The sequence below is a fragment of the Homo sapiens genome, chromosome 4, assembly GCF_000001405.40.
Source record: "Homo sapiens chromosome 4, GRCh38.p14 Primary Assembly".
Taxonomy (NCBI): Eukaryota; Metazoa; Chordata; class Mammalia; order Primates; family Hominidae; genus Homo; species Homo sapiens.
This window is the reverse complement of record NC_000004.12, coordinates 78562911-78589287: the sequence shown is the minus strand read 5'-3', so window position 1 is coordinate 78589287 and position 26377 is coordinate 78562911. Positions and strand designations below refer to the sequence as shown.

Here is a 26377-nt window from a genome sequence, read left to right as displayed (position 1 = left end):
AGGCTCTGGTAACTTTGTGCTATTATCATCTGTCATATCTGCACAACACTATCCTGAATGGTAAAAGTTTCACTTGGCTCTTAAGACCTTAACCTCAATTTTGAGGACACTCATTTAATAAATATTTGCACTTATCTGCCCCACTGTTCTTAGAACTGAGGATACAGCAGTGAACAACATAGACGAAAATCCTCATCCTCATAAAGCTCACATCCTGGAACTGTTTGTACCTAAATGCTGGGCTCCAGGGATCTGTCACAGGGCAGGTCCACTTGGGGAGCAGTGGCTCTTCTAAGAAACACCAGAAAATACCAAGCCAACTTGGGAAACAGTGCCTGGTTCTGATGGGTTTTGTAAAATATGTAAACCTTGTTGAACTGAAATATTTTAAACACCTAAAACATACTCTTTTGTGCATTAATGATTAAGCAATTCTCTTGTCTACTTCTGTCTGTACCCGCTCCCTATTAGGTTCCACCAGTACTGGGGAGTAGAGGGGACTGGAAGGCAGGAGGTGGAAAGAAGTGCAAGCTATCTGACGGCTAGTCATGTCAGTGTCAACCCAGGGAAGGCTGTTCACCCCGACAGCAGCAACTGGCTCCAGCTTCCTAGAAAAAGTCACTTTGACCCCCGTGTAGGTACTGGCTCCAGTACCTACAGATGGAGCCCTCTTTTCAGAGATCTGAACTCCTGCTCCTTAAGCCTCTGCTCTGAGCCCCTGAGGTCCCGACATCAGCCAGGTATGTCCCTCATTCTAGCTTCCAGTTTCTGATAGCCTCAACCTCTTTCCTTTGTTGTCTCAGGTCTGGGGGGTTATAACCTGCATGAATCCTTTTGTTCCCTTTTTGCTTTTTCAGTCCTCTGAAAGGTGTTTAGCAATTCTTCTTTTTTTTCCAAGACAAGGTCTCACTCTGTCACGCAGGCTGGAGTGCAGTGGCATGATCAAGGCTTACTGTGGCCTCAATCTCTTAGACTCAAGTGATCCTCCCACTTGAGCCTCCTGAGGAGCTGGGACTGTAGGCGTGCACCACCACACCTGGCCAATTTTTGGTATTTTTTATAGAGACGGGGTTTTGTCATGTTGCCTGGGCTGGTCTTAAACTCCTTGGCTCACGCAATCTGCCCACCTCAGCCTCCCAAAATGCCAGGATTACAGGCATGAGCCACTGTGCCCAGCTTAAGCAATTCTTTTGAGATGGAATCTCATTCTGTTGCCCAGGCTGGAGTGCAGTGGCACCATCTCGGCTCACTGTAACCTCTGCCTCCTGGGTTCAAGCAATTCTCCTGCCTCAGCCTCCTGAGTAGCTGGGACTACAGGTGCACGCCACCATGACCATCTAACTTTTTTTGTATTTTTTAGTAGAGATGGGATTTCACCATATTGGCCAGGCTGGTCTCGAACTCCTGACCTTGTGATCCGCTGACCTCAGCCTCCCCAAGTGCTGTGATTACAGGCGTGAGTCACCGCACCCGGCCCTTTAAGCAGTTCTTTATATTACATTCTATCTGTCAAAATACCTAGTGCTGTTTCTGTTTTTCTGATTAGAACCCAATTGGTACATCAATAACAAAACAGTCACCTGACATTGAGGTATTTACCTTCTAACAAGAATCTCCCAAAGCATCCTCTTTAACACCTACATGAGGACCAATATGTACTCCTTCTTTGGACCTCTCCCACTGCAAAAGCTGCTATGACACAACTGACCTCTGTGAGACACAAACAGAGAAACTGTGGCTCCCTTAAAGTACTTGGAGAGGGTTCTATGGGGCCATTGAATAGTAGAGAATTGGGCTGGTCTTATTCCTGATTCCTGGGAGGTAAACTCTAAATCCTTTGGATTTCCCAAGTCATAGGTGTGTCCTTGTTATTCATGGTTGGTCTCTTGGACTACAGCTCAGTTATGCTAACAATATGACCCAGAATAAAGGCTGGTCACATCAGAAAGATCAACCATATGATTAAAAGGTTGAGGCTTTGAGCCACAATATCAGCCTGACCTCTGGGGAGTGTAGGTGGACTGGTTCAATCACATGAACAATGGTTCAACCAATCATGCTTATATAACGAAACCCCAATAAAAACTAAGGCTACCAATAATCAAGTGAGCTTGCTGGTTGGTAATGATATATCAATGGTCAGGAGAGTGGAAGCTTCCACTGGACCCTTCCAAATATCTCCATATGCAGTCTCCACATTTGATTGGCCCTGATTTGTTTCCTTTATGATAATATCGCATTTGTGAACACAGCACTTTCTTGAGTTCTGTGTCATTCTAGTGTGCTATTCAACCTGAGAGGGTAGTGAGAACCCTGAATTTGTAGCCAGCTGGTTAAAAGCACGTGTAGCCTGAAAACACCTGAGCTTGTGGGCTGGTGTCTGAGGTGAAGGTAGTCTTGTGGGGACTGTGACCTTAACCTGTGAAGTCACACTAACCCTGGGTAGTTACAGTCAGAATTACATTTCAGAGTCTTTCTAATTTTACACAGCCAGCAGACTATTAGGTCTTTAGCTACTTCTATTGAATCCTTATGCTCAACACATCCTCTAAATTAATCTAATTTCCCACACCCAAAATCGTGGATCTAATCTGAGTGATTTCTAACGCCTAAAAATAAAATACGATTTGAGTCTCTTACATTGATGACAATGGTTAATTCAATTAATGAGAGATTGCCGAGAGCAAAATCCACTGCAGCTGTAATATTATAAATGTAAAGCATTAATGCTATTGTTATGTAGCAGTCTCTAGCTCAGATCATATTCCAATTTTTCCTGGAAACTCATAGTCTTTAGCTGATTTTAGAATGTATTCTCGTTTCTGTAAGTCTTGTCTTCTCAAAATGCCTCATGAAGAGATTGAGAGGATTCTAGGAAAAGCAACATTGGCTCAAATATGTGTGAACAGTGGTGAAGGTAAGCAGAAAATAAGACACCTGTATAATAGGCTTGAGAGATATCCTTCATTTGCCTGCTTGTCCTGGTAGTTAAGATTTCAATCAAGGCATCTTCGTTTGTTCCCGCGCCCTAAAAAGGAAAAGAAAATCTAATTTTTAGAACACTTAAATAACTTAATCTCATGCCTTTTGGTCTTATTATCTTGTTTATATAGATGAAAGGACACTTTTAAGTAAATCAATACAAGGTTCTCTATTGCTCTCGTTTTCTATTTTTCCATATATTTTAGTAATAACATAAATCATCTGGAATAAAGTGACAGCAAATTTTTCACTCTAGTGTGAAAATCAATTGAATAATTCTGGAAAGAAATAGTATAAAAGAAAAAGCCTGTGTCATTCAAGATTAGAAGTGACAGTCTAACAGGATTAACCCTACCAACATTCAAACATTCCACTATGTTTAGAAAAGGCTCTATAATACTTTTGAATGATTTCATCCTTGCATCACTGTACTGGGTCTATCAGCATGTATCATTCTCTTCATACAGGGAGCCTTTCAAATCCTCAGTAATGTGCATCATGGGCCTGGCTGGCATGGGGACTAATTACCTCTCAGTCCTGTTTATATCAAGGTCACTGAATCACACTGTGACTCCAAGAAAAGTCATATACACTACGACTTGATTGAATAAGGCCAGTGCAGCATATGAACAGAGACTGAATTCTGTCTCTCTGTAGCAGAGATTCCTAGTTTACCACAGTATCTCTTTTGTCTTTCTTGCTTAGTAATGGAACCCCCAACTTTTAACTTGGTACATTGCTACCCATATAAAGGCTATGTTTCTCAGCTTCTTTTACAGTGAAATATGTCCAGAAACTAAACTCTGACCAATGGGATATATGCAGAAGTACCATATGTATGCTCAGGGAGTATCCTTAGAGTGAGGGAGTGAACCCTTCTTTGTCCTTTACTCTTTTGAGTTGCCTGGAATGAAGACATAATGGCTGAGTCATGAGCCTTCTTTAGCCAGGAAGTGAAAACCATGAGTTAAAGACGGCAGAGCCTCAAGATAGAAGGAGACTGAGTCTCTGATAATGGTGGTGCCACCACAGCCTGGATTTCTTTTATGTAAAAGAGAAACTGTTCTAATACTTATTGGTGAATCTAATCCTTACAATTACACCTGCTAAACCCTCCCCTTTGGGTAGCCATAGAGAAACAATGCTCAGATTTCACTTCAAGAGAATCAGCTGCAAAGAACGCAGTTAGCTAACAGCCTCCAACTGCCACACCTTTGGGTCTACCAAAGTTCACACTGAGGTCATGCCCTCTCCAGGTGGCTGTCAGTCAATGACTGTAAACAACAGGGGTACTGGACTTGCGCCCAACACAGAACTCCTCCAAAGGGCAGTCTTTGCTCAGGGGCTCCCCAACAGCCTACCAAGGTTTTCTCGGAGCTTCACTATGCACTGAGGCTCTTCCTAATCTCAGCCTACTTCCTCTCCTCTCTCCTCTCATAGGGGTCAGGCCACCACTGCAGTCTGAAGGTTCACCCCACCTACCCTGCTCTTCGCCTCTTTATCCTTCACAGGTGTTTCTCAAAATAAATCTCCTGTACATCAAATTCCATCTTGCCATCTGCTTCTCAGATGCCCATATGTCCTCCACAGAAAAGAAGATAACTCCATTCCCTGATGGCAAGGCAGAATATGGCTTATGCCTCAGATCTAGGCTCCCTTCTTTTTCCTCCTTCCTATTAATTAATACATTGAGCACCCACTTCATTTCAGGAGTTGCTCTAGGAACAGAAGATATAGGCCAAGACCAATGAGGTTCCCTGCCATGGTGGAGGTTTGCCTTTTAGTTAGATGAAAAAAGATAATAAACAAATGGATTTTAAAAATAGAAAAGGCCAGGTGCAGTGGCTTACACCTGTAATTCCAGTACTTTGAGAGGCCGAGGCAGGAGGATTGCTTGACTCAGGAGTTTGAGACCAGTCTGGGTGACATAGCAAGACCCTGTCTCTACAAAAAAAAAAAATTTTAATTAGCCAGGTGTGGTGGTGTGTGCCTGCAGTCCCAGCTGCTCAGGAGGCTGAAGTTGGAGGCTTGCCAGGGAGGTTGAGGCTGCAGTGAGCCATAATTGCACCACTTTACTAGAGCCTGGGCAATGAAGCGAGACCTTGTCTCAAAAACAAATAAATAGACAAGATACTTTTAGACAGTAATAAGTGCAGTTAAGAAAATATATTTGAGTGAATTAATGGAAAATGTCTGGAGGAAAAGCATTCCAGATGGAAGAAACATCATGTATAAAGATCTCAAAACAAGAATAAGCTTATGATGTTCAAGGAGCAGAGAAAAGGCCAGTGTAGCTACATCATTAATGGGTGAGCAGGAGGGGGTATGACGGTCAGTTTTATGTGCCAACTTGGCCAGGCTATAATGCCACTTATTCAATCAAACACTAATCTAGGTGTTGCTGTGAAGGTATTTTGTAGATATAATTTCAGTTTATTATCGATTCACTTTAAGTAAGGGAGATTACCTTTCTCGGCAGACCTGATCCAATCAGTTGAAACGCCTTAAGACCAGAGGCAAGGCTTCTGTTTAGAAGATTCTTTCTGTGGACAGCAGCTTCAGCTTGTGCCCAAGAGTTCCAGCCTGCCTTTCCTGACAGCCTGCTCTACAGATTTTGAACTTGCCTAACCAGTCCCATAATCATGTAACCAATTCTTCTTTCTTCTTCTTCTTCTTCTTTTTTTTTTTTTTTCTGAGACAGCATCCCAGGCTGGAGTGCAGTGGCACGGTCATGGCTCATTGTAGCCTAGACCTGCTGGGCTTAAGTGATTCTCCCACCTCAGCCTCCCAAATAGCTGGGACTACAGGCATGAGCCACCATGCCTGGCTAATTTTTAAAAATTTTTTGTAGAGACAAGTTCTCACTATGTTGCTCAGTTTGAGGCTGGTTTTGAACTCCTGAGCCCAAGCAATCCTCCCACCATGGCCTCCAATTCTTTCCAATAAATTTTTGTTGTTGTTGTTTTGAGACAGGGTCTCACTGTCACCCAGACTGAAGTGCAGTGGCACAATCACAGCTCACTGCAGCCTTGACCTTCTGGGCTCAGGTGATCCTCCCACCACAGCCTCCCAAGTAGCTGGGACTACAGGAATGCACTACTATGCACAGCTAATTTTTTTTTTATTTTTTGTAGAGACAGGGTTTCTCCAAGTTGCCCAGGCTGATTTCAAACTCCTGAGCTCAAGCAATCTACCTACCTTGGCCTCCCAAAGTATTGGGATTACAGGCAAGAGCCACAGCACCTGGCCTTACAATAAATCTTTTAAAGTCTATGTCCTGCCTATTGGTTCTGCTTCTCTGAGGGAACCCTGACTGATATAAATAGAATTTTAAAAAGCCACAGAGTTAGACAGGAGCTGCACTATGTTGGGTGATGAAAGTCATGATAAGAAGCTTGGATTTTAAGCGTACAAAGCCATTGGAAATTTATGCAGGTAAGTAGCATAATCTGATTTTTAAAATAAATTAATAAAAATAATTTTGGCTATTCTGTGTAGAATGAATTTGAGATGGGCAAAAATGGAGGCAAAGGGACCAGTTAGAAGCCTATTGATATGGACCAGTCAAGAGATGATGGTGGTCAGACTAGAACAGTAGCAATGGATTTTGAGAGAAGTGCACATATTTATAATGGATTTTGAAGTAAAACTAAGGAACTTGCTGATAGATTTGGGAGCTTGGAAGGGTAAGAGAAAACAAGGGCTCAAGGATAATGCTAGGTTTTTAGCTTGAGTGTTGGGGTTAATCATAGTGCTATTTACTTTCAACGATGACAAATTAGAGAACTTGACTCTTCATGTCAAACAAAGGATATGACAAAATTCTTCCAGCCCAGGAACATTTGGGCTTAAGGTTCTATAGCTGTTGCCTATTTCAGAGTCATTCTACCACTGGGAGAGTCCAGACCAAAAGGGCATCCAAGTCCACCCATCACAAGTGTGCACTGCAAGAAAGTCACTATTTTTGATGACTTGGTCAAACCCTGGGCAGAAATGGCTTGTGGGGGGCTCATACCTTCATGGATTTCTTTAGCTGCTTTGCATCAAAGACTGCTGGTGGAGTCACTAGGGCCACCATGAGATGCTCAAAGTGGCCAGAGAGATCACCCTTCAAGTCATCTTTCAGCTCCTAAAATCAAAAAACCAAGGGGAAAAATGTGAAATACTTTTTTTCTCTTTCTCTAAAGTCACCTAGTGAAAGATGAACATATGTATCAAAATCAGACAAAACATGTCCATCCACAGGGAATAAACAGAAGTGTTGAAAATATTTCTATGAATATTAATCTGCATTTTCTAATTACTCCCAAATTGTTCTGTTTTGTAGAGGTTTTTTGAAGGAGAGCCAAATGGGAGGATTCCATGAGTGCCACAGTTAGGAACTGTATTCAAATGCATTTCCTAGATCCGCCATGCTTTCAATGCTTAGATTGGGGTAAGGGAAGAGGAAGAGGAACCCTTATAAATTCACGCCCAGCTTCAGTGGGAGGTGCTCTCTTCCTCGGTGTCTTGCCTCTCAGTAACTCCCAAAGAGCTCCAAGAGGAAGGGGAAGGGAGGACAGTGGCTGGTCATTTGTCTCTGGTGAGAATGTGGAACTAGGTGGCATCAGAAGCAATTTTCTGGCAACAAGTAAAGAAAAGAAAACCCTAAGTGTGGCAATACATTAGACTTATTTTTTCTGACAAATAATAATTGTACTTATTCATAAGGTACATAGTGATGTTTCAATACATATAATGTATGGTAATCAGATCAGGGTAATTGCATACCCATCATCTCAAACATGTAACATTTTTTTGTTTTAGGAATATTCAATATCCTCCTTCTAGCTATTTGAAACTATATTATTGTTAACTATAGTTATCCTACAGGGCGATGGAACACTAGAATTTAGCCTCTTACAGACATTACCTATTGATATTGTTTTGAGCACTGTTTTCACACCTAAGTACAGTCCATCTCCCCTGCTTAAAGGGGGGTAACAGGGTTTCTATTTTCAATATTCAATGGCATAATACTGAATAATGTTTGTTCCTGCTCCTGATTATTTTCAGCTCTGAAATAGAGGCTGGTAGCCTCTGAGCCTGCTGAAACGCTGTGGGCACAGATTGACACAACCACACTCCTGGGGGGTGCAGCAGTGGCATGTTCCTGCTGAAACAAATGGGGTGGCATTCAGTGTTATCAACTCTGCTTTAATTGCCACAGTGTTTTTTTCCTCTCTAAATGGTAAATTTCACTACCATCTGTCCTCAATCCAAGCCACTGCAGCTGAATCTTATTTCACAGCTCTCATCCTATTCCACTGTGAGAAATGGTTGTTCCCCTCCACCTCCATCTTTCTTCCATATTTTGGAAATACCAAAAGGCCAATAGATCATTCACCTTCTCTGTATGTGAAAGTGTTGTCTTGCCCTGAAGCTAGGCAATTCACTCAATTCAACAAATGTTTTCTGGGCACCTGCTCTGTGCTAGTCCTTTAAAGGTAAGTTAGACAAAGTCCTTATCCTAAGGCATTCTGCCCTCATGGGAAAAACAGAAATATTCAAAGATAAAATTTCAATATAATATGTTATCTGATAAAGGGAGCTCAGAGAAGGGTGTCTTAATGGAGCCTGGGGGCCTGGAGAACACTCCCAGGAGGTAATTCCTGAGGTGCCTGTGGATGGTCACTAGACCCTCTCAACAGTTGGCCGGGTCTGTTTGTACCTTTTCCCCCCACAGTTCATTATCTACAGCAGCCAAAATAATCCTTTAAAAATAAAAACTGCAGTATATTATTCCTCTGCTTACAAACCTCCAGTGGTTCCCTGTAGCCCTTAGAATAAAATCTAAACCCTACCAAGACCCAAGGCTTAGCATGTTCTCAACCTGTCTCCAGCCTCATCTCTTTCTTCTGCCCCCTTCACTTTCTACATTCCTGCCATATTGGAATTCTTTATTTCTCACATATTCCCAGTTTCTTTTTGCTTCAGGGCTTTTATATTTTCTGTACCTTAAATACTATCTCCTGATCAAGCAGGGCAGAACCCCTAGTATTGTTTAGGCTTAGTGGGGAGTGAGGTAACAACCCCTCACTGACATTCCTTCATCACTCTATCTGCAGGAGCCAGTCACCAGTCACTGTCTATCATATCAACCATTTTAATTCTTTCATATCACTTATCATATCTGAATTATTTTTATTTACTTGTTTATTATATTCTAATAGAATGTTAGCTCCATGAAAGAAGGCAGGATGTGCTTTTTATACCAGTCTATTTCCAATGTCTAGGATATCTCCTAACACAGATTAGTACTCAGAAATAGACATTGGACAAATAAACTGTATAGCAAAGACCAAGTCTTACTTTTACTTTTTCCTTTTTATTTTGTTTTTTGAGACGGAGTCTTGCTCTGTTTCCAGGCTGGATCAATCTCGGCTCACTGAAGACTCCGCCTCCCGGGTTCAAGCAATTCTCCTGCCTCAGCCCTCAGCCTCCCGAGTAGCTGAGATTACAGGCATGTGCCATCACACCAGGCTAATTTCAGTATTTTTAGTAGAAATGGGGTTACACCATGTTGGCCAGGCTGGTCTCAAACTCCTGATCTCAGGTGATCCACCCGCCTCAGCCTCCCAAAGTTACTTGTTCTTATATAGTTTCTGGTAATTACTAAATTTTCTTTGCTGAATGAATTAAACCTATAACTACATAAATATTTTAAAATTAAAAGAGAAATAAAAGGTTACCTAAGACAGAATTAGTCAGATAGTTTCCTTAGTAATTCTTTGTTGTGGAGGGCTGCCTTGCGCATTCTCAGATGCTTGTAGCATCCCTGACCTATGCCTACTACATGCTAGAAGTACTCCCCACCATCCTGTTTGTGATCATCAGAATGTCTCCATTCATCCCAAATGTCCCCTGGGGAGCAAAATCACTTCTGGTTTAGAACCCACTGGGCTAAGGCAAACCTTATCCTACAGGTGAAGAAACTGAGGCCCAGAAAGACCAAGTAACATGCCCAAAGCCAGTCAGCTAGTTCAAGGCAAAACCACGACTCAGATTCCAGGCTCCTGACTGGATGCACAGGGCATCTTCTGTTACACTCAGCCTGAAACAGAAGACTGTGGGCATAACCATGTGGGAGCGACCATGGTACATTAATGATCTCTTTACTGCCTGTCATGTTAATGTGACCTTACCTTTCCATATGCTGCTTGATATTCCTTAACAATCAGCTGCCGCTGTGCATTTGACCTCTCAGTCAGAATGCTGATGAGCATTTTCTCATCAGTTCCTAAATGAAACAAAAGTTATTTTACTCAATATTTATGCTCAACATTTGTCTTGAACAAAAGCAAAATGATCAATGGCCTGAGACAAATGCAGAGAGTAAGGCATTTTAATTTCTAGCATCTTATCTGGTTGGAATTTTATTTATTTATTTATTTATTTATTTATTTATTTATTTTGTTTGCCTGAGTTTTGGAAAAAAAAAGTTAACTTTATTTGGATAGTTTTGGGGGGAAGGAAACAATCATTGTCTAAATACTCCTTTCTGTACATCAGACAAAACAACCTACTACTTTTGAACTTGACTTTTTTACCTTTATGAGGTTTGGTTACTGTCTTATTGCCTTTTATCTCTCTCCCATACTTGATATCAAAATATTTCTTCCTCTGGAAAACAGGAACCAACACTTATTGAAAATCTGCCCTGCATGAAACACCCTTTTATTCATTGCCATAGTTAATATTCACAGGGGCCCGCTGTACTAAAGATGAAGACACGAACTTATCTTCCTTGCCAAAGTCACACAACTGCTGAGTGGTCCAGCAAGAAGTTGAACCCAAATCTCTGACCCCAAAACATATATTTCTATCTTTGGTCCACATCTCTCTCATGCATTTCTTCCACATCTCTCTCTCCCTCCCTCCCTCCCTTCCTTCTTTCCTCCCTCTCTCCCTCCTTCCCTCCCTCCCTCCCTCCCTTTCTCTCTCTCTCTCTCTCTCTCTCTCTCTCTCGCTCTCTCTCTCCCCTTCGCCCTTTCTCTCTCTCTCGTTGCCCAGGCTGCAGTGCAATGGCACGATCTCGGCTCACTGCAACCACCACCTCCCGGGTTCAAGCGATTCTCCTGCCTCAGTCTCCCAAGTAGCTGGGATTACAGGCATGTGCAATCATGCCCAGCTAATTTTTTTTTTAATTTAGTAGAGATGGGGTTTCACCATGTTGATCAGGCTGGTCTCGAACTCCTGACCTCAGGTGATCCACCCGCCTCAGCCTTCCAAAGTGCCGGGATTTCAGGGGTAAGCCACCGTACCCGGCCTCTCTCATAAATTTCAAACCCATATACAAAATGAATTGTTTGTAAGCAAAAGGTAACATCAGGCCAGAGCTGATGCTGGCCTGCCTAAGAATGACCTCAAGGTCATTCTTATCTTGGTGACTACAGTAGTAAGAAAAACGTGGAAAGTTGTGTCTAATTAATTTCCCAACCCACGATGATACCTGGTTTGGGAAGCTGTGAATTGGCTTGCAGGCCTAGAGCATGCATGACTAGAGAGGTATAAAAGAGCACCTGGAACTCAATGCTCAACTTCTTTGTGTCAAGGTGACCCTCACAGACCTCATCTACACACTTCCGTGGCAGTGGTACACAGCTTACATCAATGATGAAGCAAAAGCTTCTGTGTACTTGGTTAGCTGCTGGGCCTCCCAATGAAAGATGCTGCCTTTCTGTGTCTTTGGTTTTGTATTCTTACACATAGTTAAATAAATACCGAATCAGATTAAAGTGTATTTGTGCTCTGTGGGTCTGAGCACCAATTTGGTGCTGTGTATTGTACCCAGCATCTGTGTCAGTACACTACCGGCCACCACAACTGCACAAGTATCTGAAACTCAGCACATTCTGGGTGGAATTTATTGTATTTCCTCTCTGACTTGTCTTTCTTTTTATGTTCCCTCATCCACAACTATGGATATAGTCATCCAGGCAAAAACCCTGGGAATCATCTCAGATTCCTTTCTTTATCTTATTCTCTATATTATAGCAATTATCTGCATCTCTTAAATTTGTCGTCTCCTCTGCATGCCCTCTGCTCCTGTGTCCTTATCATATTTTACCTGGATAACCTAAATCACCTCCTAATGTGACTCCCATATAATTATTCCTGTAAACTACTGCCTAAGTAAATGTTTAAAAATACAATCTGATCATGTCACCCCCTTGGCTAAAATTCTAATGGCTCTTTGTAATCTTCAGGATGAAGTTTAAGCCCCTTAGCTCATGTATCAGCTCATTATGATCTCTCCTGCCTTATGTCTTTGTTCTCATTTTCTACCCCCTCTCTGCATCTCTATAACCTATGCACCTAGACTACAACTATACCAAACTACCTGCAGTTATGTGTAGTTTGTATGCCTGGCAGTTTCTCATCTCTTATTTTTAAACATGCCCAAGATCAAAAACTAAGCCAAGATGCCTCAGGTTCAGAGACTGTGTCTGACCCATCCCTAATGCAAACACCGTTATGATACCTCATTCTGAACTCAGAACCTATCAGAAGTGGTGCTCATAAACAATAACCTCCTTCTTAAAGAAGGCCTGTAAGCCAAAGTGCAAATTCATGAAGAAACATAATGTTTAAAAAGAGGTGACAGAATTTAAAGACTATTAACCTCATGAAACAGTCTATTCAACACTAGATATAAATAGGGCAATCAGGCTGGGTGCAGTGACTCACATCTATAATCCCAGGACTTTGGGAGGACAAGGCAGAAGGATTACTTGAGCCCAGGAGTCCAAGACTAGCGTGGGCAACATAGCAAGACCCTGTCACTACAGAAAATTTAAAAATTAGGTACACATTGTGATGAGCATCTGTAGTCCTAGCAACACCAGAGGCTGAGGCCATAGGATCCAGGAGTTTGAGGCTGCAGTGGGCTGTGATCATATCACTGCATTCGAGCCTAGGTGACAGAGCAAGCCCTTCTCTCTTAAAAAAAAAATAAGGAAATCAAGAGATAAATGAAGAAATAACTTACATTGAAAAATGGAAAAAATAAACCTCAAACAGGCAGAAAAAACATAATATTATATTGATATAAAGTTCTAATATAGTATATTTATTGAATTTGACAAGCTGATTTTAAAATTCATAGAGGAGGGCAAAGAGCCAAGAAAGACCTTGCCTGGTAGATATTTAGTGTCATTATAAAATCCTAATAATTGTGACAATGTGGTGTTGGGAGGGCCAAATAGATAAATGAAGCATAACAGAGAAGAGAAAAATAGGGAAGCATAAAACATAGGTGATATTACGTACAAATCAGTGTGAAAAGGAAGAGCTCTTCAATACATTGTTCTGGGACAATTAAATGTCCACATGAAATAGAATAAAATGAGACACCTTTAAATACCATCCATGAACACTAATTCCATGTAGATTTAAGATCATAATACGAAAAATAAAATTTCAAAACTTTGAAAAAAAAAGTAGGAGAATATCTAACTTTATGACTTCGTTATAGAAAAGATTCAATAAGCATAAATCCTGGACAAAAATATTGGTAAACTTGATTTCACTAAAATTTAAAACTTCTATGCAATAAAAATTACTGTAACCAATTGTATTAATCCATTTCACGTTGTTGATAAAGACATACCCTAGCCTGGGCAATTTATGAAGGAACTCTTTAATGGAGAACTCACAGTTCCATGTGGCTGGGGAAGCCTCACAATCATGGTGGAAGGGAAGGAGGAGAAGTCACATCTTACGTGGATGGTGGCAGGCAAGGAGAGAGCTTGTGCAGGGAAACTCCACCTTATAAAGCCATCAGATCTTGTGAGACTTATTCACTATCATGAGAACAGCACGGGAAAGACCTGTCCCCATGATTCAGTCATCTCCCACCAGGTCCCTCCCACAACACGTGGGAATTATGGAAGCTACAAGATGAGATTTGGGTGGGGACACAGGGCCAAACCATGTCACCAATGTTAAAAAAAAAACCATAAACTTATAGGAAATATTTTCATGGCTTGTAATATTTTTTAAAAAGTCTGTATTGAGGAATTATAAAAAAACTCTTGCCAATCATAAAGAAGACAAACCAACTGAAAAAAATAGATAAAATATATTTTATATTTTATTGACATATGAAAGTGGAAGCAGATGCACAAGTGAGGATGCTTAACTGCATCAGTCATTGGAGTAGAGACAGGAAACAAACACACATGCAGTATAAGATACTGTTTAGACACACTTAATTAGAAAAATGGAATAGTCTTACTATAGCAAGTGTTGGTGAGAATATGGAGCAAAAGGAAGTCTTGTACATTGCTGAAAGGAATGCTAATTTCTGCATTCATTTCAGAGAGCAGTATGGCAAAATTTCTAGTTGATTTGAAGAGAAGCATCCCCATCAATGTGGAAATTCCAGTTCTTGTCATATTCTAGAGAAATGCTAGCAAATATGCACAATGAGACATGAGAGGAATATTCATTGCAGCATTTTTATATTGCAATATAAAAGAATTGTAGGCAATTTAAATGTTCCATCAATATTCCCATCTTCTGATATAGTGATGCAATAGACTACCATGCAGTTAAAATTAATGCACTAGAGCTCACCATATCAACATGGATAAATCTCAAAAACATAATGTTAAGAGACAAAAACATATTGCAGAAGAATGTATACAGTATGATTTCATTTTATGCTGTTTGAGACCATGCATAACAATATGTACATGTATATGTAGTTATGGTATTAAAAGTTTCATGGGAATGAACTCTAATTTGGGATGGTGTTTATCTCTAGGGAAAGGGGCAAGAGTGAAATCCAGGAAGAACTGACGGGATTGTGTTGGGTTTTTTTGTTGTTGTTGTTTTGTTTTTGAAATAGACTCTCACTCTGTCATCGAGGCTGGAGTGCAGTGGCACAATCACAGCTCAGGGCAGCCTCAACCTCCCTGGCTCAAAGTATCCCCCTACCTCAGCCTCCCAAGTAGCTGGGATCACAAGCCCAAGCCACTAAGCCCAGCTAATTTTTTGAGTTTTTTTGTAGAGAAGGGCCCTCCTTATATTGCCAGGCTGGTGTTGAACTCCTGGGCTCTAGTGATCCTCCTGCCTCCCCCTCCCAAAGTGCTGGGATCACAGGCAGGAGCCACCATGCCCAACCAAGGGGGCCATATTTGTAATGATTTATTATGATAATTATTACTGTTGTTGGTGGCAGTGGTGGTGGTGGTTAGATAGGACTAATACAGGATGGTCACAGGAGAACAGAAAATTCCAGGCAGCAGTTTCACATGACTAGCAAAAGGAAACTGTTGAAATAGCTGCAGAAACTAGGGGCTGATATGACCCTGAAAACCCATAGTGTGGATCAAGCTGGCTAAGACCCACTGGACCCAACATGGCGCTGGATTTGACCTAGGATTCTCCTAGGATCTCATTATATGCTAATTAACATACTCAATCACACACCCACCAGTGCCATGGCAGTTCCGGAAACACCGACATTTGGTGTAAAAAGGGGTGGCACTACAGTTTCAAGAAATCACCTTTTTCCCAGAATCTTCATGACTATTCCACCCCTTGGTTAAAGAAACCCATAAAGGCAACAGCCCCAAACCCCCTTGTGCACGACTGTCTCTTGAGTACACTCACACTCCCCTTTCCTGAGTGTGTATTTTTCACTTTGCAATAAATCTCTGTGTTTTCAGTATTTTTTGACCCATCCTTGAATTTCTTCTCTAGATGGTGTCAAGAGTCTGGATACCAGCCAGGGTTGAGATTCCCCCGGCATTTGGGGATCTCCCCTAGACCACTAGTATCAGTGGTAATTTTTAATATTAAGTAAATATGATAAATGTTAAGATTTAATAAAACTGGGTTCTCTATATATTTCCTCGTTATTTCACAATTTTAGAAAATTCCTGACAATTTATTAAATTGAGTAAGCCAATCTGAGCAAACTGAACTTTTAGATTGTAACTTGCCTGATTTGCTTCAACATTAAGAAAGGAATTGTAAAATATCACTCACCAATTCCTCTGATTGCTTTCTGAATAGCTTCAGCATCCACTGATGGGCTAAAGTCTGGATAATCTCTTACTGTTCCTCGGTGTCCAACCTAGAAGGAAATACTTGAAAGTCCCATTGGTTCAAAATGACATCTTTCTTGTATTACATATGCATATTCCTTCATGCATATGAGAGGCATATGACAAACCCATAATTCGCACACCTTCCTACCACTTCAGGAGTGGCTCTGAAATTGCCTTTGGAAAATTATGACAGTAAGAGAAATCTGACATGGTTGACTCCATCTTGCTTCTAGCCTCACAGGCTGGCTGTCTTTGCTCATTCCTGGGTGTGGGGCAAACTAACTTCAGGAGGAATTTAGTTTATAGTTTAAATGATACTAGCTCTTCCCAAAAGCTAAACTACCCTTGTAAAATTAATGGAAGTCTACCAAGTTAGGAGGATGAGAGGGGCCTGAATTTTACTAAGATGCAGGCATAGTTACATAATTACCTGCCATTATTCTGGAGGTCACAATATTTGCAACCTCCCCAATTACTCTTGCAGATAGCATCACTATTATAGAACCTACAGTTGGCCTTTTGAGAAGTCTTTTAGGCTTTTGCATTTCTGACTACTGGACAGCCCCACCCAGACCAGCAACTCCTTTGGTGGCCCCCACTTAGAAGCAGACTCAGCCTACAAGGACTGTTTTCTATACCCCTATAATTACATCTCCAACCAATCAGCATGCCCCTTCCCTAGCCCCCTGCCCTCCATTTTAACCTTGAAAAACCCCTAACTTTTGAGCCTTCAGGGAAATTGATTTGAGTAATAACTCTGTCTCCCACATGGTGTGGCTAGCCTGGCATCAATTAAACTTTTTCTTTACTGCAATGTGATGGTCTCAGTGGACTGATTTTGTCTGCACAGTGAGCAGGAAGAACCCATCTGGCAGTTACAGTTGAAGTGATGGTCTACCCCCCAGACACAGGGAATATGATATCTACCCCATATCTCAGGAGTCCTCTTTTTCTTTTGTGTAACAAATTACAAATATAAAACATTGGTTCTCTAGAGCAGTAAGTTGTGTTAATCTTGGTGACACTGAAGAAAATTTGTTTTAAAGTAGCATTTGCAGGAGAGCAACAAGAAAGCTGAAATTTCCTAAATCTTCTTATTTTTCAAGTGATAATTCAAAGCTCATCATGGCATCTCGCACAGAAGTAACTGTGGTTTACAGACTTCAAGATGTTTTAATTAATGTTGACCATTGTCCTTGGGGAATCCCAGACTAAATGATCCATAAATGAAAACCCCCTTAGGACTGTCTGTTCTTAAGCTTTGTTTAATGAATGTGCAATTAGAAGACCTTCTAAAAGCTCTACTGACATCATAGATCTTCAGGAATTGCAAGGAAGTAAAAAATGCCACACTACTAATTTTAAGCATGTAAATTAGAAGCATGTCAGTAAGCTGGGAAAGACCATAATATAGAAAAAATATTTTAAAATTGCTTATGAGACTAAAGAAGGACAGCCACAAAGATGTTGAGAAAAATCAAAGTAAACGTAGATTTATGTGGTAGTTCCTAACTTCTTGAATAAAAATCTGTCTTTACAGTAATAATATTTCCTTTTAAACAGCATTTTTCTATCCTGTTACTGAATAGTATTGGCTCTGTTGTCTTGTATTAATATGGGTTCATTTTGGCTCTCTTGAAGGGTTTAATATTTTCATGAAAGGACATTATCTGTCACATTAAAGTGAATGGAAAATTAGTGTTCTGGCACAGTAAAATATGATAGTCTGCTGATTCATTAGATTAGACTGAATAATTGATTTCAATACACTCAAACACTGTTTAATCTTATAGCATCTAAAATAAGAACTTTAGAACCTAGAAAATAATTGCAAGTTAGAAACTAGTTGTGAATGTTCCTGACCTGAAGATACCTGTAACAAACCAGTCACTTTAGTCTGGACATGGTGGCTCACTCTTGTACTCCCAGGTCTTTCGGGGGCCAAAGACAGAGGATCATTTGAGCCCAGGAGTTCAGGGCCAGCCTGGGCAACACAGTAAGACCCTGTCTCTACAAAATATTAAAAAATTACCAGGTGTGGTGGTGTGCAGGTGTGGTCCCAGCTACTTGGGAGGCTGAGGTGGGAGGACCACTTGAGCGCAGAAGGTCAAGGCTGCAGTGAGCTGTGATTGTGTCACTGCACTGTAGTCTAGGTGACAGAGTGAGACCGTGTCTCACAAAAAAAAAGAAAGAAAGAAAGAAAGAAAATAAATTAGTCACTTTAATATAATTTTTGATGAATTCTCTTTCTCCAAGGCTTGATAAATATTTTATGGATTCACAGAGCCAACTGGCTTCATTTCACTTCTATCCATCTAGGAACTTTTGTGTTGATCTTACCTGTCCACCTTCCAGTGTCTGGCATTGTAAAAGAACTACCCCAATGTTAGATTGTTTGAATGCTTCATGCCCAGCACACTTTACATGCTAAGCACTTTATATATGTTAATTATAATCTGCATAACAGCCCCAATAAATGAGAGTGAGCAATTTCACATAAACAGCACCAAGATTTAAGAAGACCAGAGAATTTGATCAAGTCTACACAGCTAGTTGCAGGCAGAGGCTGAATTTAAAAGCAAACTAGACTATTCCAGACCATTCCTGGTGTTTCATGAAGTGCAGTCTCTGTACCACCTGGAGTGATACTTTAAATGTATATGACCAGGACACACCTTCTATATACTGAATCATATGTTTTAGAGATGGGGTGCTAAATTCTACATGTGTAAGAAGCTCCCAGGTGATTCTGTGCCATGCAGATATTGACGTGGCTGATTCTAAATATAAAAAGACAAAATTGTGGTCAGATCCCAGTTGTTCATGCATCATGAAAACTCAGGGTTTGCACTCCAGCTGTGAACTTTTCACTGGCCTTTACCACCTACACATCAAAATATGCTAAAATGCCAATGCACAGAATTAGAGAAGGAGGAAATTCCCAATTTATTATGCAATTTAGTACTTAGCAAGAATTAAATGGGGGAGGAATAACTTGTTTAATTACAAGGGGGGAAGAAAGTACGCACACACACACCCCAACTTGAAAAAGGGCTTGGGAATTCTGAAGTGGAATTTTAGTGAAATATTTAAAACTGCTTCCATTATTTAAACGAATGGCATTATTCATTTGATAGACTTGGTTGCCCAAATCATTCGGAAATATTACATGACTTACAAAATAATCTTACAATCAAAGATTAATGAAATCTTTTAAAACTAATACATGAACAAAGTGATTTACAAACATTTAACTCTTACAAGAGCCTTCATGAGGTGAATTTTATTATTTCTAATTGAAAATGGAAGAAACCCAGTCTCACAGAGATTATTTGCTTAAAAGAGCTCTGCTAATAAGGACAGCCCCAGGACTCAAACCCATCACCTTATGACTAAAATGCCCCCTGCTCTATGTCACATCACAATGCCTCGAGGGAGTTCATCTTAGTGGTTCTCAAAGTGTGGTTCCTGAAGCAGCTGCATCAGCATCACCCGGGAATGTGACAGAAATGCAAATTCTCAGGCCCAACCCCAGTGTTCCTGAACCAACAACTGCAGGGCCAGGATGCAGAATCTGCGATTTAACAAACCTTCCAGGTGATTCTAGTACACAATAAAGTTTAAGAAGCACTGCTTTATTTCCTTCTTAGCTGTCTAGAAAACCAAAGCAAAAATGAGCAAACAAGCCATGAATTCTCTTATGGGTGTGGAAGATGAAGAATTTAATGATGAGCTCATCGCTTCAGGAATGTCGGCATTTTTACAGCCAAACAGGACTGCTTGCATTGCCTGCTCCACTGCAAGCTTAATTCCTTGACATTTATATTACTAATCAATACTTGGCTGAGTTTATTTCCAGTAACCCTAGTGTCCTAACATAGTCAGTGCTAGCGTAGAACATCACCTGAATACTTGGCAAAGTCTATTTAAAAAAAAAAAAATTGCCTTTGATCAGATTTCCATCCACACATTTAAACACATTTAGTTGCTTTCCTTTTCTGAAACTTGACCTTCAGATGCCTCCAAAAGAAAAATGCTGCTGAAGCCAGTTGGAAAACAAATTAAAGCAAAGAATGTCTAGATAAAGGGGGAAAGTAACAGGAGCTCTTTATACTAAGAACAATTGCTGCTAATCACTATGTGCCAAGTACTGTGCTAAGCGCGTTTCCTGCATTTGCTTATTCAATCCTTGCAATAAACTTATAAGGTAGATATAATAAATCCTTTTCACAGATGATGAAACTGATGATTAAGTAACTTGTCTAAGTTCCCACAGCCAGTAAGTGGTCTGTTCCAACAGTCTTTGCTCCTAAACTAGACTAGCCTTCATCTCATTTAAACCATCTTTTTCAAGACAATATAATCTCCCTTGATCTTCTAAAATCATCCTTCGGAGGTCAGCCTTAGCACATGACACCTTGAAGCCACTGCTTGGCCAAGCTGGGCCTAGGGAGCTGTTTGCTATTGCCCCTGGGAGAGGCCAGTCTGTTTTTGACTCACAAAAGCCAGTTGTACCTATTTCTTTATGCAAAGTGTACTGTGTTTGCAAGAAGTTAAACATTTACATTCAGAAGGATGAGTGGAAGAGAAAAACAGAAGGTGCCAACCCTGTTGATATGAAACATATTTAAAGCCAAATGCTACAGAGCAAGAATAGCAGTTGCTGCAGGGACATTTTGAAGATGCGGTGAAGCCAGATCACTCATCACTTCAGAAAGCCCTATAAAGGCCACATCCAAAAATTGAGGCATCAAATCAAAGCTCCAGATAAAACTCCAGGACAAGGAGCTCTCAAAGAGCCGGGGAGAAACGATGGCTCTCTGTTCAATGTCAAGATGCTATGTTGGGTCATGAAGCTTTATGATACAAGGAAAAATGGAGTAGATTATAAAAAATAAAGCAATCAAACTTGGAAATTGTTAAGACTTCCTGTTCAATTTTTCCAGTAAAAAGCATTTTTCAAAACCAAAGAAAGTTTACTGTAAACAGCCCTGAAATAAAATGCAGTCAAGTGAGGCAGGTGTTATGGGTTGAATTGTGTCTCCCCAAAAAAATACCTTAAAGTCCTAACCCACAGTACCACAGAATGTGGCCTTACTTGGAGACCAGGTTATTGCAGATGTAATTAATTAAGATGAGGTCACAGTGGCAGGCCCCCAATCCAATACCACTGGTATCCTTATAAGACAGCCATGTAAAGGCAGAGACATACAGAAAGAATGTGATGTGATGGTGAAGGCAGAGACTGGAGTTACGCAGCTGCGAGCTGCCAGTATGAGACCAGAATGTGCCTCTTCAAAACATGAAGGATTGTTGAAGACAAGAAGAAACAGATACTCAAGAGATATCTTTCCTCCATTTGCCTAAAAGCAGGACAAAGATTTATGAAGACAAAAGGTATTCTGCCCTCCTGACTACCAGGGAGAACAAAGGTTAAAGACTGAAGATAGTTTAAGACCCTTATCAGCCTGACAATGGTATTAGAAGAATTTATATTAGCAAGCTGTACTAACTAACCTTTATCTGCAAGTTATTTGCCTTTCTTCACTGCCCCACCTGCAAGTTGCTGCCCACAGAGATTCAAAGGTCCTTTTCTATTGTCTTGTTACAAAAAATTTACTGTTCTTTGTTGAAGATGCTATATAAGCTGAAATTCAAAGCCACCTCTGAAAACTACTCATTCTCTTGGTGTCTCCATGTATACTCAAAATACACATGTTAATAAACTTCTGTCTGGTTTTCTCTTGTCAATCTGTCTTTTGTAACAAAGGTGCTTTCCAACTAAGAACCTATGGGGATTACTGTTACTCCCCTATACCAGTAAACCACTAGAAACCAGGAAGAGGCTAAGAAGTTCTCCCCTACAGCTTTCAGAGGGAGGACGGCCCTGACCACACCTTGATTTTAGACTTCTGGCCTCCAGAACTGTGAGATAATATATTCATGTCATTCGAAACCAGCAGCTTGTGGTACTTTATTACAGCAGCCCTAGGAAACTAATACAGCAGGTAAAGGCCAGAGAAAAATACTGGTAACCAAGCGGTTCCTACAGGGCAAATCCTGGGGGCCTCGCCTAAGAGCCTCCTCACCTAGAAGTGCCACTGGCTGGCAATGATCACTGTGCCTATGGAAGATGATGCACAAACAGAAGCCTCCCACCACCACCGCAGGCATGCTCTGCAGCCCACAGGGCAGTAAGGAGTAGGCGGTGCTGAACGTCCACAGCAGGCAAGACTGGCAGACGCTGGGATCCCTGAGATATGCCAGGCTGACAACATGGCTTTGTTCATAATGTGTCCAAAGTTCTGAAGAAAAAGTTTATATTTGTTCTTGGGCTCACTCAAAGAAAAAATATTCATACTTTTCAGCTTTTCTTTTTTAAATTTCTTAAAAATATTTAGGGGGTACAAGTGCAGATTTCTTACATGCAGATGGTGCATGGTGGTGAAGTCTTGGCTTTTATTAGTGTACCCGTCACCCGACTAGTGAGCCCTGTGCTCAATAGGTAATTTTCAGCCCTTAGCCCCTCCCACCCTCCCACCTTTTGAAGTGTTCAATCTCTATTATTCCGTTCTCTATATCAATGTGTACCCATTGTTTAGCTCCCACTTATAAGTGGTATTTGACTTTCTGCTTCTGAGTTATTTCACTCAGGATAATGGCCTCCAGTTCCATTCATGTTCCTGCAAAAGACATGATTTCATTTTTTTTTTTTTTGTGGCTGAGTGGCTGAGTAGTATTCTATAGTATAGTATAGTATAGTATTCTACATTCATTTTCTTAATTCAATCCTCTGTTGATAAACCTTAGTTTTATTCCATATTTTTGCTACTGTGAATAGTTCAGCTTTTCTTTTTTAAATAGAGTGATTTCATCATCAGGGCAGTGTCAGAGCAAGAGGACTGGAATGTGAGAACAGAGGAGGGTGTGGGATGGAGTAGAAAGATGAATGAGATTCAGAAATCAGGGAAGACAGGGACAAACAAGCCATTGATGTTGTATTTTCCATGACACATGAGTTATAATAAGAAGCCTTGACCCCTTGGAGCATGTGTCACTCACAGCTAGCCTGCCTTCCATTGGCTCCTGTGCCTCACCTCCTAGGTTTCTTCCCGCCTCTCCAGGATGCACTCACCTTTGTCTGACCTCTATAAAATACGCAATTCTAAAGTGGAAAGTGGCTCTCTCTTTTCTTTCCCTCTAATCCTGCTGTGGGTTATTTCTTCCACTCCCTCTTCTGTATACAGAAAAATCCCACATTATAGCTCTAGCCCAGACTTCAGTTCTGAGCACTGGTCTTGTATATTCAATGTCTCCTCCATGTATTTGTTTTGATTATCTCCTATATCAACTCATTGTTTCCTCCCAAGCTATTTCTTCCCCCTTCTGACACTTACATAGTACTTACTTGTATTTTACATATACCTGATCATTTAATCCTCAAAACCACCCTATGAGGTAGGTACAATTAATACCGTGATTTTATAGAGGAGAAAAAAGAGGGTCCAGAGCGGTTAAGACACTCGCCAAGGTCACATAGGTAGTTTGTGGCACAGCCAGGATTTGAACCTAGGCAATCTGGCTCCAGTTTCTGTGCTCATCGCCAATTTGCTCAGTTTCCTCAACCTTCCCCATCCCTGTAAAAGGAGCAATCATCAGCCACCAGAAACCTGGGAGTCCCCTTTGATTCCTTCACCTGCATTTCCCTCTGAATTCCATCTATCAGCAAGGCCTGCTGAGATTATTTTAAGAAGATAATCGCATGGGCGCTCCTCCCCAGGTTCTTTGCTCCTGCTCTTGTCCAACTCACAATCATCGCTCTCCCGTACTTGAACATCTGAGTCATGTTCCTCTCTACTTCCTACTTCCCATCTCCAGCCATTTCCCACATAGCAGCCAAGGGATCTGTTAAAGATCTAAGTCGGGCCAGGTGGGGTGACTCACACCTGTAATCTCTGTGCTTTGGGATGGATCACCTGAGGTCAGGAGTTCGAGACCAGCCTGGCCAATATGATGAAACTCTGCCTCTACTAAAAATACAAAATTTAACCAGGCGTGGTGGCAGGTGCCTGTAATCCCAGCTACTCAGGAGGCTGGGGCAGGAGAATCACTTGAACCCAGGAGGCAGAGGTTGTAGTGAGCTGAGATCGTGCTACTGCACTCTGGTCTGTGCAACAGAGCGAGACTCCATCTCAAAAAAAAAAAAAAAAAAAATCTAAGTCAGATCTTGTCACTCCCCTATTTCACACTGAATAGAGTCCAAACTCCTTACACTGGTCCATAGGGCCCTGCATGGTTTGGCCCAACCACCTTCATGACTCTTATCTGGAGCCACTCTCTCCAGATGAGAGGTAGAGTTCCCACACTTCAGTTCTTTGAAAGTCAAGCTGGTATACAATGAACTCTTTCCCACCTTAATGCCTTGGTTTGTGTTGTTCTCTCTAACTGGAATGATTTTTACCTTCAGTCCTCTCCTTAAAGACCATCTTCTCTAACAGATCTTCTTTGGCACTTGATCTGAGTAGGTCTTCTACTGTTATTCTGCATCTCAGCCACCTCTCCATTGTTAGGGCACTCAGCATTGAGTAATACCTCTCGCTGTTTATATCTGTCTCTCCACCCCCTCTAAAATAAAATTCCAGAAGGCAGAGACATTTGTTTCACTCATTCCTATTTATCCAGCTGGGAGCCCAGTGCTCAGTCCCCAGATAGGGGCTTAATACATAACTGTGAATTAGTTTGCTAAGTAAGAATATGAAAGCAAGACAATGACATCTCACAGTGTGGACTTTCTCCAAGCTCTACACTAGATGGTTGGCTGCCCGATGAGTTGCTTCCTTCAAGTATCAATAGTCTAGAAATCAAAGTTCCTATTGTATTCTGGGAGATTTGGGAGATACTTCAGAAGCTGAGTGTTTTCTAGTACACTGGAGACATGAAATGCATGACTGTGTCTGGTGATTCTGTTACATCTTCCTTCCTGTCTCTCCAAGCGCTCAGGGTTTCTCTGACAAAGGTAGCAAACCCAACTATCTGGATTGAGTTTGAAACACTTGGCCTCCCCAGAGACTTTATTAACATGAACATCTTTCTCAGAATAATTTTCATGTATTTGTTTAAAGCAGATTATAAATAATTTGTATTAATCTTCTTTTGAGTCATCTAGCACCAGTATTTGTAGATTATCTCTTTGTTCTACAATCAAAGTAAAGTGCTTAACCTAGTTAAGAGTTCTTGACCAAATTCTCTTGGCCAAGGGTCACAAAGATTTGAAGACTAACATGGCTATTCTGGCCACATACTCAGCCCTGTGCATGTGTAACTTCTGCGGGAGACGTCCCTGTCTAAGGGTCCTGCAATCTAACAGGAATATATAGAGAATTTATATCTTCCTGGATATATGGAGAAATATAGGGAATTTGGCTCACTGAAGTGCAGAATCCACATCTTCTTAAATGGCCCTTGGCTAGAGAACGGTGGCTGTCTGTCTTAGCATTCCAGGCTGATATAACAAAATACCACAAACTGGGTGTCTTATAAATAATAAAAATTTATTTCTCACAATTCTGGAGGCTAAAATTCCAAGATCAAGGTGCCAGCAGATTCAGTGTCTAGTGAAGGTCCACTTTATGGTTCATATACGGCACCTTCTGGCTGTGTTCTCACATGGCAGAAGACGTGACCAAGCTCCCTCAGACCTCTTTTAAAAGGGCAATAATCCCCACCTAACCTAATCACCCCCCAGAGATCCCATCGCCCAATCATCCTGAAGGTCAGGATTTCAACCTATGAATAAGGGGCAGGTTGGTGGGGGAGGGGGAACGACACAGACATTTAGACCACAGCACTGGCTTTGCAGGATTTGGGGACACTTACTCTATCCACCTCACTCCTATGAGGATGAGAAACCTGTGAGGGACTGGGATCAGGGATGTCTCCTGTTTGTAATATTCTGGGCAGAATACTTCTTACATAAATGGCCAAGGTAAATGATGTCTACTGGACATGATGGTAAATGCATTATTTTATGGGTTATTTATGAGTTTTTTTAAAAAGCGATAATCCCAACAAGAAGTTGCAGCAAATTTAAGAATGCTTCCTAATGTAAAGTAAACCTAGAGAATGGAAACTCCTTGAACAGTCCATGTGAAGACTTCTTGGGACTCTCTGTGGCCCTTGGAGGATAATAAAGTACCATAAAAGAGAATTGTAATACCTCCCCCAATCCCCTTGTAATCTTGTATCCCTGTTTTTGCTTCGTGGGAATCTTCCTGTTGCATTCAAATGTGTCTTGC

General features: G+C 41.1%; 1 protein-coding gene across 2 annotated transcripts in view; it reads right to left on the bottom strand.

Annotated features, from left to right (window-relative positions):
• Positions 1-26377, bottom strand: part of ANXA3 (annexin A3) — a 58678-nt gene that overhangs the window by 21160 nt on the left and 11141 nt on the right. For both annotated transcript variants that reach the window (NM_005139.3, XM_047450154.1), the window contains exons 3-6: positions 16021-16108; positions 10167-10261; positions 6998-7111; positions 2938-3028 (exon numbers count right to left, since the gene is read on the bottom strand). In NM_005139.3, the coding sequence (NP_005130.1) occupies positions 2938-3028; positions 6998-7111; positions 10167-10261; positions 16021-16108 (388 nt within the window). The remainder of the gene's footprint in view (positions 1-2937; positions 3029-6997; positions 7112-10166; positions 10262-16020; positions 16109-26377) is intronic.